Source organism: Homo sapiens, chromosome 5, assembly GCF_000001405.40.
Source record: "Homo sapiens chromosome 5, GRCh38.p14 Primary Assembly".
Classification (NCBI taxonomy): Eukaryota; Metazoa; Chordata; class Mammalia; order Primates; family Hominidae; genus Homo; species Homo sapiens.
This window is the reverse complement of record NC_000005.10, coordinates 72,653,548-72,673,728: the sequence shown is the minus strand read 5'-3', so window position 1 is coordinate 72,673,728 and position 20,181 is coordinate 72,653,548. Positions and strand designations below refer to the sequence as shown.

Here is a 20,181-nt window from a genome sequence, read left to right as displayed (position 1 = left end):
TGTTTTATAGGACTCTTGTGTAGCTACTCTACTCAAGTAGAGTCTTGTCTCACCTTGGAGATATCACTGAGACTGATATCTTGGAGAAAGCCTATGTAGAACCCTGGGGTTTGAATCCTCAGAGTCGATAGTGACATTAGAAGGGAAGGCTTGGTTTGGGGACTGCTGTTTTAATCCTCTCCCTTTCTTCCTTTCACTCTCTCTCCTTCCCCTGATTTCTGCTTGCCTACTTTCTCCCTCATTCCCTTCTTTCCACAAATAAATATTTATTGACCATTTACAATATGGTGTGGAATGCAGTGGTGAACAAAACAAATATGGTCCTAGTCTTTAAAAAGCTGACAATCTAGTGAGGGAGACAGATACTAAACAAATATAACATGTGCAGATCTGTGTCATAACATATTGGCACAAGAAATGACACATCATTTTTTAAAAAAATCAAATTAAGTTTAGCTTGCACAGATAATTATTTAGTCTAAGGGATACAAATATGTTTCTGGGTAGCCTGTTTCCCTTCCCTGGGGTTTGCAAAATCCAGGAGTTTATGAACTCCAAGGAATTAAGAAATACAGGAAACTTGAGAAAAGGCCTCTGGTCTTTAGGCCATCAACTGGCTGTGCAATGATCTCAGTCCAAGCCTCCAGTGTCCACTGGGAGGTCAGAGACTCTGCTGCTCCAGGCACCCACTCTCTTGGAGCCACATGCTATATTGATTTATGGTAATTCACTTGGAAATACTTCAGTTCGAGGAGTGTGATGTAAGTACAAACAAGTTAATCTGAACCAACACCTTGAAGTTGGTTAAGTAATAAAAGAGATGTTAGAAATAATTTTTGGGTAGGTGATATTAGTGGTATTTAAGATATCTCTTGGTTAGGAGTGATGTAGCAAGAGCTGTAGCCCTGGTAGGAATAAAATATTAAAAGCTCAAGCTTGATAATTTGAGCTGGTAGTCCTTCCTTCTCCAGTTCACAGAGGATCCTGTTGACAGTTTCTAACATTAGAAGAATCCTAACAGTCACCAAAAGGTCCCTGACCGTCACAGTCTGATCAAGTTAGCCTAGATCTCTTTCTCATATGCTTGGCCAATAGTGTTTTATATATTTATTTAAATTGACAGGTAAAAATTGTAAATGTCTGTGGTGAACAACATGATGCTTTGATATATATAAACATTGTGGAATGCCTAAGTCAAGCAATTTAACTTATGCATTGCCTTGCATACTTTCACTTTTTGTGCTGAGAATACTTAAAATCTACTCTGTTAGCAATTTTCAAATATTCAATGTACTGTTATTAACTGTAGTCACCACGATGTACAATACATCGCTTGAACTTATTCCTCCCATCAATAATGTCTTGATTGAGGTCCACAAGGCCAGAGTGCATCATGCCCATGACATAATGCCATGTAGGCTCCCCAATGGAGATGGTGCCATCTGGGAAAGGCTGTGTGGGATGAGGCATCTGTCCCCGACCCGCCTGGGACTGACCACACCTCTATTCTTTGTCACCTGCTCCTTCAGTTGCTCCCTTTTCAGATGATCTAGTTCTACATGTTTTGAGATGTAGAATTTAACACATGGTGGACTAAATCTAAAGTCTCTGTGTTCTGCCCTGGGGAAAAGGAAACCTCTCACCACCTTGTGAGGGGAGGGCTTAACACCAATCAGACTTTCTTCTTGGGCCCACTGCTGAGAAAAGACAGCCTGGGGTAATTTCTCAGTCAAGTTATTCTGCTACACAAATAATTACACAAATAACAATTTTAGTTTTAACTTTAATTTCTCTGAATTGTCTATCCACGTTGAGTTAGCTATTTTTGAAGGTCTGATAGAATCTACTTGTTAGGACTTTTCCTGAAAGACATGAGAGAAATGGCAAATGAAACCCTAGACATGAGAATTTTTTTTTGTTTCGGCATACATACACTGAAGGATTCAGGGTAAGCGTATTTCAAAGAAATCACCAATGTCCTTGAGGTAGTAATGATGATTCTAAGGAGAATAATGTAAAAAGTTGAATGTTACATGCATTTACATTGTTCTCTAAGCAATTGGTCTAGATCGGCCCTGGTGGGATATTTTGCTTTCTGAAACCATGCTCACCCACACATACATATTGCAAAGCATAACAAAATCCTTTCAAAGAAGACAAAGCATGATCTTCTGGGTTTTGCACTCCAATGAGTCTATAGTACATAGTACACAGAGATACTTTCTTTTTCTTTTGGCTATACAAACAGAAGGAATCTAGCACTTTGATGAAAATACCAGACTTCTGCTCTGCCTAGAGTGTACACATTTTCCCTGTGGATTTTTCCTCAGTTGAGATGATGAAAACATTGAACCAGAAAAAAACAAAACAAAACATCAATTTATGCTTCCATTTGATGTCCTGCAAAATGGAGACAGGCATGAGTGCAGCACTCAAACAACAAATTGAACCACATGTATAATAAACAGGACTGAGCTTTCCTATTGCTATGAAAACATTATACATTCTCTGATTTGCAACATTTACATATCTCATTATGAGCTAGATGCTTAAAATGCTATAGAGGATTTCATTTCACCTCTTTTGTGCAATACATGGTTTCCAAGTATCTCATAAATCTTTATTTACTGAGTCTAGTGTCTTTTTAAATTTGCGTTTGCAAACTATGATTGCATTATGTTCCTGGAACCCTGGGATATGAATTTACTATTGCATTTATAGGCAGCTTGGTTAGAGACTCTTATTAAGAAATGTTGGGGGAGGAATAATCACTGATAAAGACATATTTGAAATTCATCTGAACACATTCTTTTGTAGCAACAACAGAACTTAAATCTGCAAAAAAGAATACATTTGCTCATCTTTCATTTCAAGAAAACTTCCTTTAAATGTCTTGAATTTATACACTTTGGAATCTTATATACACTGTTAATTTGAATGCCCTTCCTTAAAGGCTGAGCTTTTAAAGAAAATAAATAAAGGGTAGAGCACTAATTGTCATTTTATCCTTGAGGGAGATTGCATTAATTTTTAATTTGCAGCATATTTGCATTTTACAGTGGCAACCAGGTCTGTGCATAATCTAGAGATCAAATTGTTCCTGATTCTCAATCTCTGATGAGCTATGCCACGCTTAGAAGGTGGACAAGCGGTGCATCTTGATGTGGAAAACAGGTTTTTCTTTACATTTTCTCAATCCTAGGAAGAATGGACATCACAAGGAACTGCCAAGGTAGAGAACATCATCTCTGCCCTCTAGAAGCTCACAGAGTAAAGGGATGATTTCCTAAGGATGGGGCTTTCACTGCTGGTGGTTCTGCAAAGATTGTATTCATACATAGACATCTTTTAAAATGTCAGTAATGATACATTTTTTGTAATGTGTATTTGAAAACACTGATATCGAAACCAATATTATTTCTCAGGACAAGGCTAAAGAAGGTGGCAATGCTGGTGAGTTAATACAAAGAAAAGTATATTAGTTTAGTAATAATATGGCAGATACTAAGATAAGGCAAGTTTTCTTCACCAGCTGCTCTAACTGCCTGAATATCTGCAAGAGTCCTCCAGTCTGTTCCTTACCAAATCTTTCCTTCCTTCCTTCCTTCCTTCCTTCCTTCGTTCCTTCCTTCCTCCCTCCCTCCCTCCCTCCCTCCCTTCCTCCCTCCCTCCTTTCTTTCCCTCCCTCCCTCCCTCCCTCCTTTTGAGACAGGGTCTCACTCTATCACCCAGGCTGGAGTGCAGTGGCAGGATCACTCACCACAGCCTTGACCTCCCAGGCTCAGGTGATCCTCCCACCTCAGCCTCCTGAGTAGCTGGGACTACAGGTGCATGCCACCATGCCTGGCTACTTTTGGTATTTTTTGTAGAGATGGGGTTTTTGCCTTGTTGCCCAGGCTGGTCTCAAACTCCTGGGCTCAAGTGATCTTCCCACCTCCACCTTCCAAAGTGTTTGGATTACAGGCATGAGCTGCTGCACCCAGCTTTCCCATCTTATTTCTGCTGGCACCCTACTTTCCCTTCCCAAGCCTCTAGCACCCTTACCCACTCTTTCTAGTATTGGGTAACACGATGGTCATGAGACAGCCCACCCTGCTTCAGCTTGCCCTCCGTGGGCTGCACCCACTGTCTAACTAGTCCCGATGACATGAGCCGGCTACCTCAGTTGGAAATGCAGGAATCGCTGGCCTTTTGCGTTGATCTCGCTGGGAGCTGCAGACCAGAGCTGTTCCTATTTGGCCATCTTGTCAGCCACCTCATGCATTTTAATTACTAAACTCTTTCCTTGAATGCTCTATTTTCAGAGCTTATTTATGGCATGGTCATGCCTTCCCATAGCTGAAAACAAAATTAAGGGAAATAATTGTGCAAAATGTCTTTAACTAAACCTTATAATAACTTTTTTTCTCCAGCTGTATTTTAGGAAAAATTCTCAATATGGCCATTTTTTTTTTTTTTTTTTTTTTTGAGACGGAGTCTCACTCTGTCGCCCAGGCCGGACTGCGGACTGCAGTGGCGCAATCTCGGCTCACTGCAAGCTCCGCTTCCCGGGTTCACGCCATTCTCCTGCCTCAGCCTCCCGAGTAGCTGGGACTACAGGCGCCCGCCACCGCGCCCGGCTAATTTTTTGTATTTTTAGTAGAGACGGGGTTTCACCTTGTTAGCCAGGATGGTCTCGATCTCCTGACCTCATGATCCACCCGAATATGGCCATATTTATACATGCTCCTTTATCCTATTGAAGAGCTAGAATCAGGAATGGACTCCTGTTTACAAATTTCTATGGTATACTTATAATCTGTGCTATATGATGTAATAAGGTGTATCTTATTTAGAAAATGCAGTTCTGGGGATAGAAGCTCTGAGTGAAATCGGTGCTATTTGGTCCTCCTGGCACATCTCCAGAGAGGATGAATGTTCAGTGGTATGGCATGGTGGTTCCATTCTCTTCAGCTCTTTCTGCAGCTGTTGATTAAGCCTCCCTGGCTGGGTTCTAATGGGTGGTGTTTTAATGTTTCCTTTTTCTTTTTGTTTTTTGTTTTTTAGCACCAAAGAATCCTATATTTCCTGTTGATTTGTACTCTTGATTTCCTAGCCATTTTTGTGAATGCGACTTTGAGCCCCCGTTATTCTTGTGATTTGCAGCCAGTAGGATGTTTTTCTTATTTTTGGCAGATCAAACATAGTTACTTGTATACCTTTTTCAGGCATTATTCATCAAAATTATTATCAGAAAAGAAAGAAAATACTGGCAAGAAGGGAGCTTTGCTGAGTAAATGGAATAGACAGTGCTTCTTAAATGGAGAAAAGTAGACTAGATCATATTAGAACTCACTGGTTAAGTGTCACAAACTGTGAGGGATCTGAAATTTGACCTTCCTTGCAAGCTAACAAATTAGCCTCCCATAGTTTCATGGATGCTGGTAGAAGACATGAGACTCCTGGAGAAATAATAGTATTCCTCACAGCAATAGCGGCAGCTAGAGTACTAGCAATTTTGAGTGGGTTCTCTAACCCCTAATTCTCATAGTATGATGCTAATAGGGCCAGATGACACCTGTGCAGGCACTGGATTGCATTACAGAGAGGAACCGTGAGCACAGGAAACCCAAATCTTTTATAATAGACAGTGAGCAAGCCTGCTTTTTGCTCAGGAAAGAAAAGTGCTCTGGGAACCACTCTATCTTCCAAGACTTTTTGTTATACAAACATCCTTGCAAAGATAGTCTAGAACAAGGGAAGTCAGCGCCTTGCTTATAAGACATGTAGAAACATGAGAGACCAATGGACAATTGTTTCCCAAAACTGAGAACATGAAAGAACATGCTTTTCACTGCAGTGACTCCTTGGCTGTGAGAGTTATACATTAAGTGAACAAGTTAGCATCATAATGAATTAATATCAGGACTACATGGGCAGTGCTAAAAGAGGTGTGCTTCTTTCTACTTACCTGATGCTTGTCTAGCATTTCCAGTTAGATTCCAAACACTATACACACACACACACACACACACACACACACACACACACACACACACATATACAAATATATATACACATATATACACACACACATACACATAGACACACTGTTTCACCCTGTTTATCTCTTACAGAACAGAGCACAGAGTTGATTGATAATGCTAAGAACAGTGTAGGAATTTAAGGATTGCTTATTCTTTATAGCTCAGAAGGCAGCTGTCTTGGGTTTCTTCAGGGCTAAAGATAATGAGGTTTTAGCATTTTTTGGCTATGTTATTTTCTAGTATTTTGGTCCAGTGTCTAGCAGAACCCTTGGCAAAAAATGGCCACCTGGAAAATCTGTTGACTCTGGCTCTGGCTACTGCCTTTTCAGCCATCCATGTCCTGGAGGACTTGGCTGAGATCTTGTTGAAAGGAGGCAAAGATGGGCTTGCTTCTCCAGTCAGATTGGGGATGCTGCTTGTGAGGGGTGGGGGAATGGCAGGAAGCCATTCTGGTGGTGAGAAGGAGGACACTCAGGAACGGGAAGAAAGGAAAGACTTCATATAGCTGCGTAATGATCTTGGTAGGTGGTGGGAAGCCAGGGTCTATTTATCTGGTTGTAAGCTGCAGTAATCAATTGCTTTGGGGGTCTTGTATTTTTTCTTATGAAAAATATTATTTCCACTTTTTATTTTTGGTAACATTTCCCTCCTAAATGCAAAAATAATGCATGCTTAGTATGTAAATTTGGGAAACACAGAAACATAAAAAAAAAATGACCCTAGCATTTGGGATCTGGTAACCTGAAGCTCCCTTCCACACTCCCGGTAACATACATACCTTGGTGTATCTGGAGGCTGGATAGTAGAATGGTATTGTGAACAGGGTGTGGTCAGTGTCAAAGACAAAGCCAATCCTAGTTAAAGTGGTAAGTACAGATTTTATCAGTAATATACGATTGCAATGGGGAAAAGGGTCCCGAGTGTACTGCACTCAATTTTAATTTGCACAGAGGTACCCATGGCGTTTCAAGAGAGAATGAGGGAGTGTCGGTGGGAGTGGGGAGGTTGCTCAGTAGAGTCAAGGAAATGTAAAATTACAAAAAGCAGGATGATGGGGAGAGGGTTTGTCCATGTGAAACCCATCTGGGATTGCTAACTGTCGCATATCGAGCTAGGCTCCTACCCTCCCGCAGAGGTTAGGAGACAGGGGCCCCATCTTCAGGAACTGGCTGGAATAAACAGTCAATTCAATTGGCAACCTTGAGTTTTCTCACAGGTACTTTAAGGACACTAGGGTCATCCTAGGGATGCAGCCTTGCACTGTTGGAAACTATGTTAGTGTTTCGTTCAGATCTTCATAGGCCGAGGTTAAGACATAGTCAAGAAGAGTGCTCCAAAGGGCCTGGCTAGAGTTTGATCGAGGAGAATCTTGGCCATGAGGCAGGCTGGGTTTAATTCCTGGCTCCACTAACACTGTAGGTGATTTATGTAATCTTTTTAAGTCTCTGTGTGCTCCTACCTACCCCATTCCATACGTACCTCATTGTGTCTCTCTGAGGATTAATGAAGGTCTGTAGCCCAGTGCCTGGCACATAGTAAGCACTCAGCAAACACTAGCTCTTGTTATTATTATTGTTCTTTTCTCCCACAATGCAATCATAGCTTACATCCTCTTTTGTAACCTGGTTTCCAAATTTAGAGTTATGTCATGAACACTGCTTCTGGTTTTGGGGTTCTTTCTTCAGGAAAATTAATCTCTTTTTTGTTTTGCTTTGTTATTTTGAGACAGAGTCCTGTTCTGTTGGCCAGGCTGTAGTGCAGTGGCACAATCTCGGCTCACTGCAATCTCTGTTTCCCAGGCTCAAGCAATTCTCCTGCCTCAGCCTCTTGAGTAGCTGGGATTACAGGCGCCCACCACCATGCCCAGCTAATTTTTGTATTTTTAGTAGAGGCGGGGTTTTGCTGTGTTGTCCAGGCTGGTCTTGAACTCCTGACCTCAGGTGATCCACCCACCTCGGCCTTCCAAAGTGCTGGGATTACAGGCGTGAGCCACTGCGTCTGGCCAAATGAACCTCTTACTCAGCAGTGGATGTAAATCAGGCTGACCACTGCAGGAAACAGCAAGCTGGTGTCTGAAGTGCCTCGTCCACTCGGGAGTGCATTGCTCTTGGGCCTGACTTGGGAGGTGGCCCGTGAGGAGAAGGCACAAGGTTACAGGAGACACAAACAAAAGTGTAATCCTTTTGAGGCCCACAGAGTGAGGACTCGTCACACTCAGCCCAGGCAGGGGACTCAGGCCCCTTTGTAGAGATGGAGAAAACCTTTGATTTGGGGGATAAAAGAGAATTTTTTGATCCTGTTCATGAAGGAGGGCGACATAATGTGTTTAGAGGTAACCTGATGTCAGGTGCTTTTGCGCCAGACATGGCACACTTTTTTTCTTTAGATCCCAGCTAGAAACCTGGGGAATTCTCTTCCCTGAGCAGTTGTTTGGGCCTGTAGGCACCCTGTGCCCAGAAGGCAGCTTTGTCGAAAGAAAAGAAAATCAAACCCGTGTTCTGCAACAGGCCGAGTTCCACCCAAAGCCCCTCGACCCTAGAGACTCAGGGACAGGATGCCTTCTCTGAGAAGTCTGTGGTGCTGCCCTCTGCTACCTCACCTATTTGGGACTCACACAGTTTTTCTTTTGTCTCCTGGATTTAAATCCCAGCTCTGCCACTTTCTAGCTGGGATACCTCATAGGGCTGTCACAAATATTAGATGCACCTATAAATAAATTACATCAGTGTCCAGTATGTGGCAAACAATAATTATTGTTTTTAATAATCACCATCATATAGCTTCAGTGTTCTCAGCCTGATTGGTGCAGTTATTACTAACTCTCTACCAGATTCTCCAACTCATTGCAATACACACTAGGTCAGGGCCCTTCGTGGTCTTAGCAGATTTAAATATTTTGATACTCACCCAGGAGGGTGCCTTTGTCTTTTGCTTAGAGAAGTAACGTTCCGCTCTGTTTTGGGGCTCACTTTTCCCTTTGGTTGTGGGAGAAGCAGCAGGGTTCATTCTGTTTACTAAAGAGCCAGCTTATCCCCCCAGCCTAGTCCATTCTTTTTTTTTTTTTTTTTTTTTGAGATGGAGTCTTGCTCTGTCGCCCAAGCTGGAGTGCAGTGGCGCGATCTGGGCTCACTGCAAGCTCCACCTCCAGGGTTCATGCCATTCTCCTGCCTCAGTCTCCCGAGTAGCTGGGATAGCTGGGACTATAGGCACCCGCCACCACGCCCGGCTAATTTTTTGTATTTTTAGTAGAGACAGGGTTTCACCATGTTAGCCAGGATGGTCTCGATCTCCTGACCTTGTGATCCACCCGCCTCAGCCTCCAAAGTGCTGGGATTACAGGCATGAGCCACCGCACCCGGCCTCCCAGCCTAATCCATTCTTTATGACAGGATGCAGTGGCCCCTCTTAGAGGCAACTTGCTGTCCAGGAGCCTCAGCTACTCTCTCACTCCAGACAAGCTGGAAAAGGAGCAGGGATTCTTGCAGAAAGGTTTTCTGTGGCCACTGGTTCTTAGGTGGGAGGTCAGAGCTCTCAGAGCTGTTGTTACCAAAGAGGGCTTTGCAGGCATAACAGCAGCGCATGGTCTCATGCATATGCTCTCTTGAATGATTTTTAAACTGGTCACTTCTGGAATACATCCATATTAATAATGCCTTTTGGTTCTGCAGTGATCATAACCCAAGTCTTCAAGCTCTGGGATGAGACAGGGCCTGGCAGGGCTTCCATAGTTCCTCTATGTAGGTAGATAATGTGCTTTCGCCCTTCTCTGGAGCAGGAAGAAAACAGCAGCAATGGAAAGGTAGGCTGGGGCTGGGAGCAGAAAGCTGCCTTCCAAAACAGCACTGTGCTGTGGCGTCTGTCCCAGGATTCAGCCTTCTGTGTTGCGTTGTGGAGCTCTCGGAGTGGTTTTTGGTTCACTGGCTTGCAAAATGATGGTGGCCACCACCAGCTCGGGGGCTGCTAGCAGAACACAGCCCAAGGCTTGAGACTAGAGAATGACACTTAGTGCAAATGAACAAAAAGGCAGAAATGGCTAAATCTCTAGGGCAGTCTGTTAGTAGCTCTCACCTGGCCCTCACCTAACCTGCCTGGGAGAACACCCAGAGCTCCTAAGCAAGGTACAGTTCTGCCCTGCCATGGGATTAGACTTCTTGATTTGAATCCCAGCTTCACCACTTGTGAGATGCTGGGTAAAATGCTTCACCTCTTTTAGCCACAGTCCGATTGTCATACAATGGAGATGCTAATAGTACCACACTCATCATAATGAGGATGAGAATGGACACTTTACGTAGAAGCTGAGCAGAGGCCTGGCCCACAGCAACTGCTCAGGGAATGTCAGCCACGGTGGCATTGATATTACTCCATAAGGGATCTGCGCACTTACCTCACCCTGTCTCCCATGTTGTACACTTCTTGAGTGAAGAGGTGATGTTTCTCTTCCTGTATGGGGCAGTGCAATGAGAAGGGAGCACGCAGACCCTGGAGTCGGCCAGTCTGCACCCGACCTCTGCTGCCTGACAGCTTTTAACTTTGGGCGCATTCCTTCACCTCCTCGTGCTTCAGATTCCTTTCTGTGAATGGGAGAACAATAGGATCTGCCTTCTAGGGGTGTTGTGAGGATCAACGAACTCATCCACATGAAGCCCTTCCACTCAGCACTGGGTGAGTGCCCAGAAAACACTAGCAATGATGGCTCCATGTCCAGGGAGGACCTGGCTCTCTGCCTCTCATCAATTTGGTACTCAACAAATGCCTCTGTGCTGGGTTGGACCCAACATGCTGGACCTGCCTCTTGTGGTTCCTTGCTGTTCCCCACTTTTCCAAAGTTCCATTGAAAGTCTCTGAATGTATAACCCAAGAGCAACAACAGAAATATGTTGGAGGTACCAACTGGCCCTGTTTGACAGGTTCTGAGTGGTTTCTTGGGATGCAGGACTTTTCCGTGCTAAAGCCAGGACAGTCTTGGGCAAACCAGGATGGTCAGTCACTCTACTATTGCTCACAACTTCCATCCCAGGGCTGGTGCTAAGGCGTTTGCTCCTAGAGGCAACTGTCCTGGAGTGGGTGGCAATTTTGGTGATGGCTTTTCCCTCTGCTTTTTAATTAATGCTGCCTCTCTCTCCAATGCTACTAAAATCTGCAGCCTGCAACCTGACACTCTACCCTCAACAATGAATGCTGGGGTGGCTTCCAAGGGAGTAGAATATGTTGGCCAGGGAAGGTGGAAAATATCTTGAGCAGCTCACAGTTATTTCATCAAAGTCTGTTTCCAGGCAATCACACCAATTTCTTGAGAGGTTGGTGCCAATGGGAACTCGGGGCCCATGCAGCACAGACTGGGGGTTGATATACCTGATTCTAATAATCACTTTCTTCTCTGAGCTACGTGACTTTGGACAAGATTCTTAACTTCTGTGGGCATCTAGTTTTCTCATCTGTAAAAAAGGAAGGACATTAGATAATCCATCTAGGACCATTCCCTCATGCTCATCAAGGCAGAGGCATTGGCTATGCTGGCCTGGGTCTGTGGAGGGCAGTGGGAAGAGGATGTCTCACCCTGGGCATGTTATTAAGCCCTTTTAGCCTCATGTATCAAATGAGGATAATTACAGTACCCTGTATTGTTGCTAGAATAATTCTTTAAAGGCTAAGTATCTGGATTCAAGAGACTGGTTTTCATGTGAGCCTGTAAAATCAATCCTTTATTCTATATCCATACCTCATTCTTTAGTTCAATCATTAAATAAATATTTACTCAGCTCTTACTGTGTGCCAGGTACTGAGCTAGGTCCTAGGGACACAATAATGAATAAATTAGCAGGTCGTTTCTTTTCTTCCTCCTCCTCCTTTTTTTCTTCTTTTTTGTAAACAACAATTTATTAAGAACTTACGGTTGCAAAAATTTTAGGTCTCTAACCAGTATAATCCTTCCTTTCCTTTTTAGTACGGAATCCCTGTATTCTAGGATTTGGCAAGCTGTCCACTGAAACATTATTTTTCCCAGCCTTCTTTGCAGAGGTGTGTATGTGTCATGGGATGAGGGCGGTGGGTGGGCAGAGTAATATGTAACTGGAAGTCACTGAGTGGGGCTTACAGGGAAAGCTTTTTAAAGGAGGATGACTCAGTCAGCAGGTCCCACTGCCTTTCCTTGTGTCTCCCTTGTCTGTTCCTAGAACACTCAAGTGAGAGCTTGAGCTCCAGCAGTCATCCTATAAGCCTGAGGACAAGGGCCACAGCCTAGGGATGGTGAAGCCTGGAGCTGGAAAGAGCCTAGGTGCCTGATGGTGCTTTGGAGTCATCATACCTGCACTGCTCTTATTTTATAAGGGGAAAAAATCCTTGCTTTATTTAAGCCAATATTTAAGTCTCTGTTACTAGTAGCTGAATACAATTTCCAGTTGATTTATCTAATATGTATGGAGCAAAATGCGGAGACATATTTAATTGTTTTTCCCTAAACATCAAGAAGTGAAGGCTATAGAAATCTAACACATAAGAACTTAATGTTCAAACTCAAGACATTCATTAATCTTTCTCAATACCTACCAAGGGAAGCTGATGAAACTAGCCTTTTCCTCATATGCTTACTGTAAAAGAGGTAAATTTGAAATACCTTTAAATCCCGGTTTCTCTAAGGTTTGACACCATGGAATAAAATTCACACAATTAAGTGTTTTATTTCAGCTTTTTCTGGGCTTAAGATGATATGCCCAATTCATCTTTTTTTATTAGTAGAGTGCTCACAAATTCTCAAAACCTTTATGAGAAATCCATGTGGTTTTATTCAATCTGCAACCCTAATATGGTTGTATTTTTAATAATGCTAATGGAATTAAAATTTTAAAATTCACCTGGCACATATTTTCACTCACTCCAAGAAATTATAAAAATAGCTGGCATTCACTGAGTACTTACTCTTTGCCAGCCTCTCTGATAAATACTTAACAAGCAAAATATCATTTAATCAGCTCAACACTCCTATGAGGTAGGTGTTATTATTATTGCCATTTTGTAGGTGGGGAAACTGAGGCAAAGGGTGTTTAAATGGTCTGCCCAAAGTCACACAGCTAAGAAGCAGTGATGGGATATGAAGTCAAACAGTCTTAAAAGCAAGCTATCCTGTTGCAAAATAGGTAAGTGGCTTTGAACAAATTATTTTACTGTTTAAAAAGAAAACTTGTACAGTTTTCATATGACTATGTGTCAAAAAGAAGGTATATTTCAAGAAACTTTATGTAAATATGCCCAAGGGCACATTGAATCTGTCCACGATCTTGGCCAATGTCTAGGAAGACCTTTGTCTTAAGGGATGGTAAAATAGATGCCTCTTGATTTGAAGACAACCAATAACATGCAATATTTGTGCTTTGGCATCCTTATTTAGAACATCTGCATTTTTCTAACCATGCAGTTAAGTAGGAAGGTGGGGAAGATATTCAGTATTGAATGCCTGATAAGTCACCAGGTACTTAACGGAATGATAACCAGGTAGCACCTGCCCGTCAGCCCTGTAGGGAGCTAACTACTATTGCCTCTTTAACAGATGAGAGAAGCAAGGCCCAGAGAAATCAAGTGATTACCAAATACTGATGGCCAGGCTCAGGCTCAGGAGGCTCAGATTCAGTTGGTTTGAGATGAGGCCCAGGCATCACTAATTTTAGCAACACCGTTGGTTATTCTATTTTGCAGCCAAGGTTGAGAACCACAACTCTGTACTCCTCAGAGGTAACAAGTGATAACACTAGACCACATACTTGAGCCTTTGGTCAGCAGTTACAAGCGTTTACACTCTCTGGCCTGTGGATCCCTTGGACTCTGTTGCTGTGACCTGGTGCTTGCGCTCTGGTGGCTCCTCCTGAAATGGATTCCTCACCCACAGTACTGGCCAGAATTCTTTGTGCTGATTTTCATTGCCTCACTCTGGTAGAAGAGAACGAAACTCCCAGAGTGTGTGTGAGGTTGGGTTCCCTAGGAACCAGACTCTGCGATGGAGACCAGTGTGCAGGCAGCTTACAGGAGCGAAGGCGGCGGGACTGGGCAGAGGGAAGAGGTGAACTGCCTTGTGGGTGCTGATTCCGTAGGAGCTTGGGAGTCGGAGAGACTCTTCAGGGTTGTGCCACTTGGCAGCAAAAGGGCTGGCCATTGACCAGTCTTTGGATATGGGTCCACCTCCCTCTACTCAGGAGCCTGTGATTCAGAGAAGGGCAATTCCTGTAGAAGGACTCAGCTGGGAGCTGGGAGCTTCTAATACTCCCAGCAGCTGGCCAAATGATTGTTTCAGTCTTGAAGAGGTACTGGGGGGCCCAGTGGAAGGAAACAAAAGGGCCCACCACAGCACTCACTACACAACAAAAAGGAGAATAGGAGAGAAACTCTGTCTGTCTGTGGCTTTGCTGTCACTTTGTTGTTGGCTTCACCACAAGACAGCTGTGAGCATTTACCTCTCTGGGTGCGTCCTGCAGGGGCAGTTCCTTTCTCCAAGCCATGTCTCATATTTTTGCAGTGGAGTATCTCTCTGAATGATACAGATCATCCCAATGAGAGTGAACCTGGAATGAAAACTGGTATAATAGTGTGGTACTAGGCATGAGTCTTACCTTCGAACAAGGTCCTTGGAACCTGGGGTAAGGTGATGTTGGACTCTAGTAGTGCTGTAGGAATCACACCTCTTTTATAGTGAGCCTCCTCTTGTCCTGGAGGGAGACATGACCTCATCCCTCAAGGCTGCTCACTGCAAATGCAATCTTGGGAAATGGCCCAAGTAAAGAGTTGTCAGGGCCTTGCATTCTTGGTGTATCCAGCAAGCTGAACATGAGAGATCCATGGAGGAGAGCAGGAGAGGGCGTTCCGGGAGAAGGAACAGCATATGCAAACTTTTCTAAAGTATTTTCTGTGGAAGCTTGCCTCCTGAAATGTTATAGAGGCTATTGAAAAAAAAAAGAGTTTCAAGGTCAAATACATTACTTATTTAAAAAGGTTGGCAAGATTTTTGTTTGTTTATTTATAACTGATGGGTTTCTGAGAGCCTTTAATACACTAATGAGCATTGTGAATATTCAAAAAGAGGGAACAATATGTAACATTTCCCTTTTTTTCTGGATCTTGGAGCCATTTTTGGTGTAGCACACTGAATGCTATATTGCATTCTAATGGCCGCAGATACTAGGATAAGGTCCCTGTTGGAGTTTTAGGAAGGTCAATAATGCCGCTCAGATTGGAATCCACTGAGAGATAGATCTAGATCAGTTGCATGCAGATAGATATATCACATTTGTTATTGCCAATGCTATGTAAGGAATGTGGCCTAGGTGGTTCAGTAATTCTAATATTCTACCCAGATGTAGGCAGACCTGTTTACCCAGCTCCCAGCTGTGCTGGAAAACCACAGGCCTCCCCACCTTGGAGGAGCAGGTAATGTGTGCTACCTACACGCTAGTAGGCTCCAGGGAACAAGAGAGAGGAGGGAAGGACTCAAATGTTCACAGCAGATTATTCTTCCATGTTCATCAACCAGGTTAGTCAGGCCAGGAGCACTACTCTGATGGACACCCCTCAATAGACATGAAGCCATGAAGACTGGGGAGTAAGTGTTCCTCCCTAACACCCCGTCAAGATTGTATGATGTGTCCAGGTCAGTGTTTTGATGCTAAGCCAGGCAATACACCAAGGGTGCTGAGAAACAGGCTTATCACCCTAACAGAGCTGACAGAGGGACACAATTATCCTCCCAGAGTTAGGGCACTTTACAAGTTTCTCACTGCAGTTGGGGCATTGGGGAGAGAACACGAGGAAGGGATGGAGATTCCTCAGAGTGCCCCCTCAGAGACTGAGTGAGTGACTGTCCTCTATTTTTAGGAAAGGAACCTGCACACTGAAGGTAGAGTGAGTGAAATGAGCGCTGACGCTGATTCTGAGACTGTTGTACCAGACACTGTTAGTGTTCCATCCATGTCTCTTCAGCTGTCCTATTGCAAGCACTGCCCCTCTCTGCCTGAAGGTTTCCTCTTAGTCAAAAGTCTTCCAAGCTGGGAGTTAATGCTCCTTGGAGTAGTCCTTAGCCAATGCTAGATGAAACTTAGAGGTTCAAAACCCCACTTCCTTGCACCTTGGGTGGGATGACTCTAAGCCATGTTCTATAAAGTCTCCAGAAATCCCTGGTGGGATTGAGCCCTGCTCACCCATAGTGGTAACCTGCTTGATGACACATAATTTATTTGCTTCCTTCCCATACCCATCTCACATCTCAAATAAATGACTTTCACTCAAATCCTTGTCTCAGGATCAGCTTCTGGGTAACCCAAACTAAGACTCATGTTATCCACAACATCCATCCATTCATCCTTCCATCCATCCATCTATCCATCCATCCATCCATCCATCCATCCATCCATGCATTCATCCATGCATCCATGCTTTCATCCATCCATCCATGCATCCATGCACCCATTCATGCCTCCCTCTATGCATCCATCTATCTGCTCATCCATCCTACCAAGCTATCATATGCCAGGCAACATATGAGGTTCTCAGAATAAGGGATAATAAATCACAGCCTTTGAACTAAAGTTGCTCAACTGAATTGCTTTATATTCCCCATATCACCAGGCAGAGATACTCAATACACCAGATACCAAAGGGGCATTGGAAATTCTGAATAATCTTCTTTTCAAAGGCTTGAAGAGGGTTGTCAAGCTGAGCCATCCCCGCTGGGGCAAACAGTGCCTGGCACATGGTGGATGTTCAAGAAATGTTCACCAAATGAGTGTTCAAATAGGCAGAGTGCACAGATGGATTCATTGTAAAGTAGGTCAGCTTTCTCTGGAATCCCTTGCTTTCTGAATCCTTGCCCCAAACTGTAAATTTATAGTAAATTCACAATTTAAAAGATGATCTCAGAAAATCAAAAAACTCACTTAGGTCAGGTGAGTGCGAGATCCCTTGGAGGAAAGTTTTACACTTAAAAGAAGAGGCAGCAGGGAGATAGATGAAACCAAGTGACTGGCGCTGAAGGCCCGCTGCAACAGTGTGCAGAGATGTGGAGTGGCAGTCTTTTCTGGCACCTTTCAAATCACAGAATACAAATAAGGTTAGTCCCAACTGCAAGAATGAACAAGGCCATGTTTTGAGTTCTTAGGTTGTCAGTTACTAAGTGCAACCCATGAGCCATCATTTGTGATTCTTATACAGTTGGGAGTTGTAAGAGTGACAGCTCTTAACCTTTCTCCTTTGCAGTGTGGAGGGGTCTGATGAGGCCTGATCCCTGATGAGTTGCCACAGGGCTGAAGCATGCAAATGGCTTGTGTGATGGGAGAGTTCGTACTAAGCTGTTGATTCATGGTGGGCTGCTGATTCGTGGTGGGCTCTTAGAGACTATGAGGCAGAAGGGGCTTGAGCTGGTTCTTAGAACATGAGTAGGATTTGGCTAGGTGGAGGAAATAGTAACAGTCCCTATTTATCAAGTACTCTGTGCAGGCTCTGGGATAAGAGCTTCTAAACAGAATCTCATTTAATTCTCCCAAAACCTAAACAAGCACCTCTATCATTATTTCTGTTTCAAAGACGAATGATAGAAAGGTTAAATAATTTATTCATAACAAAACAATTAATAAAAGACAGAGCCAAAGTTCAGAGTCAGTGGACTTCCTTAAGGGCTTGTACCTTCAGCAACCCTTTTGAACAATGCTACTGCTGTGCTATTTCTTGGAGGGGAGGGAGGGAGGGAATTTAAAAATGAAAAAAATAAAAAAGAAAAGGAAAAAAAGAAAAAGAAACCATTTTCCAATGATCATGACCTTGAATGTCAGGATGAGCTTCTATCCACTGCTTCCTTGGTGGTGGCATTCCTTGTGGGTATGGCCTAGTCAGAGTGGAAGCCAGGGCTGTTTCCAATCCCTTTCATTCAGTACGTAACACACCACTGAGCATTCCTATCTGAGTGCTGACAATGGTTCCTTTGGGTGTGGGTTCAGGTGTCTTATGCAGAGGAGTCTTCAGTGACCCAGAAGGAAGCTAAGGGGTGAACAGGCCGAATTCTTCTGCTGGTCATTGAATGCGGCCACAGGCTATGGAGCTGAGGCATCTGCCGTCTCTGCAAGGGCTCAGCCAGAGACACACTGGAGTGTCGAGTACCTCTGCTGCACCGTGGCCTTGCCGTGCTTTCTCATGTAGCTCATCTCCTGCCACCCTGGTTTCTTATTTTAATTTTTAATTGCGGTAAAATACACAGAACAAAATTTACCATCGTAACCATTCTTAAGTTCAGAAGTGTTAAGTACATTCACATTGCTGTCTAAATGATCTGCAGAACTTTTTCATCTTGCAAAAACGTGAACTCTGTACCTATTAAATAACAGTTCTCCATTCGCCAGTCCGTGGTGACCACCATTCTACTTTCTGTTTCTATGAATTTGACACATACTTCACAGAAGTGGAATGGTTCAGTATTTGTCTTTGTGTGACTGGCTGATTTCACTTAGCATAATGCCTTCAAGTTTCATCCTTGTTGTAGCACATGTCAGAATTCTCTTCCTTTTAAGGGCTGAGTAATATATTGTATGTCTGTATATGCCACATTTGGTTATCCACTCATTTGCTGATGGACACTTGGGCAGCTCCCACCTTCTAGCTATTATGACTAATGCTGCTGTAAACATGGATGTGCAAATGTCTCTCCGAGATCCTGCTTTCCATTCTTTCGAGTAAATAGACCATCGTTTTCTATGTTCAGTGGCCATCGTAGAGGGAAAAGAGGAGGAAAATGGCAAACAAATAAATAAATGGAAAACTCCAAGATGCTCACAGAGGACTCCATAAGAAGCCATAAAGATAGTGTAACAACCCAACAAAGGAGGAGCGAAACCTCACAGCCCTAGCAGGCAGTTTCAAAGACAATTGCTCAGCCCAAAGAGTCCAACAGCTCTCAATCTTAGTGGGGCTAGAAAAGAATCTGGAGACACCATATCCAACTCCCTCTTGATCTTTTCAATCTGACATCCCTGTTGCACCCTTGCTTTAGGTTCTGCATTCAGCTGGAGCATTATTCAGAATTTGTTTTTACAAAGGATGGAGTCTAGATAGGAAGCCCTAAATCCAAGCCATAATGACCAGTGACTCCCAGCTCTGCTCCAGAGGCCCAGACAGGAGGCAAGAGCCTTGAAAGATTTTTCTCAACCTTCAGCTAGCCTGTCTCCTTAGCTGTGGAAAGCAAGCCTCAGCCTGTCACCAGGGCCCAATCCTGTACCATCTGGGCTCTCAGGGGAAGCTGTATGAAAGCGTGAGTTGCTGCAGCCTTGCTATTTAGGGCTGGCTGCATGGCAGATGTCCTTTACACAGAAGCCATATGTACCCCTCCCTCTGTGGGGAGAGAGGAGGAGTGCTGCTCGAAGGTCCCCATGAACCTTATAGGGAGGTCTCCATGTCCTGTAAAGTGGCCTGGTCCTGGGGGATGCAGGGTGGCCCTCAGCACAGGGAGGGATGCCTTGTGTCTCTGGGAGGGACTATCTCTTCTAAGGCTTTCAGCGACAAGTGCCGGACTGTGGCTGGGTCCAGGGAGAAAGGGGAGGGCAGAAGGCAGTAGAAATCAAGTCAGGGCACAATATTTATGTGCAGAAAGCCCAAAAGAGAGGCCTTGGTGTCATTTGTCCCACTCTGCACTAAGTACTTTTCTGGCTGGCAGCTCCACTATGAACTAAGTGGAAAACAGGCCTGGAAGGGAACAGGGTATGGCTGGTCCCAGATGTGTGCCTCCCAGAGCCTGTGCACTCTGGATCACAGTGAGAGTTTCTTGTGGCTGCAGCATTGGGAATGCAGACCGGCCCCTCCTTAGAGGTCTGCACTTAGCATCCTGTTAGAGCTGCAAGGGGCCCTGGAGATCATCTGGTTCAAGCTGGTCATTTTATAGTTTTAATCAAGCCAGGAATGTGAAATGACTTGCTCCAGGCCACACAGTGTGAAAAAGAGCAGATCCAGCAGTGTGACTCCAAAGTTTCTTCCTTCTGCCCTGCAGGGCCTCCCTGAAGGGTCAAGTTACTAATATCGTCTCCTACTAGTTGTCTCAAGTGTGATAAACACAAGTTTTAATCAAGGAATATGACATCATGAGGACATATACCATGCAGGCAGGTAATAACAAGTGGATGCAGGAGGTAGAAAA

General features: G+C 43.9%; 1 long non-coding RNA gene across 14 annotated transcripts in view; it reads left to right on the top strand.

Moving 5' to 3' along the window:
* TNPO1-DT (TNPO1 divergent transcript) overlaps positions 1 to 20,181 on the top strand; it is a 245,434-nt gene that overhangs the window by 142,820 nt on the left and 82,433 nt on the right. For 3 of the 14 annotated variants that reach the window (NR_105007.2, NR_186510.1, NR_186520.1), the window contains 2 exons: positions 11,974 to 12,047; positions 13,045 to 13,162. The exons of 6 other annotated variants lie outside the window; for them this stretch is intronic. This is a non-coding gene — a long non-coding RNA (TNPO1 divergent transcript). Of the gene's footprint in view, positions 1 to 3,059; positions 3,233 to 11,973; positions 12,048 to 13,044; positions 13,163 to 20,181 lie in introns of all 14 variants that reach the window. 5 more of the 14 variants (NR_186512.1, NR_186521.1, NR_186522.1 and 2 more) reach the window with 3 other exon arrangements.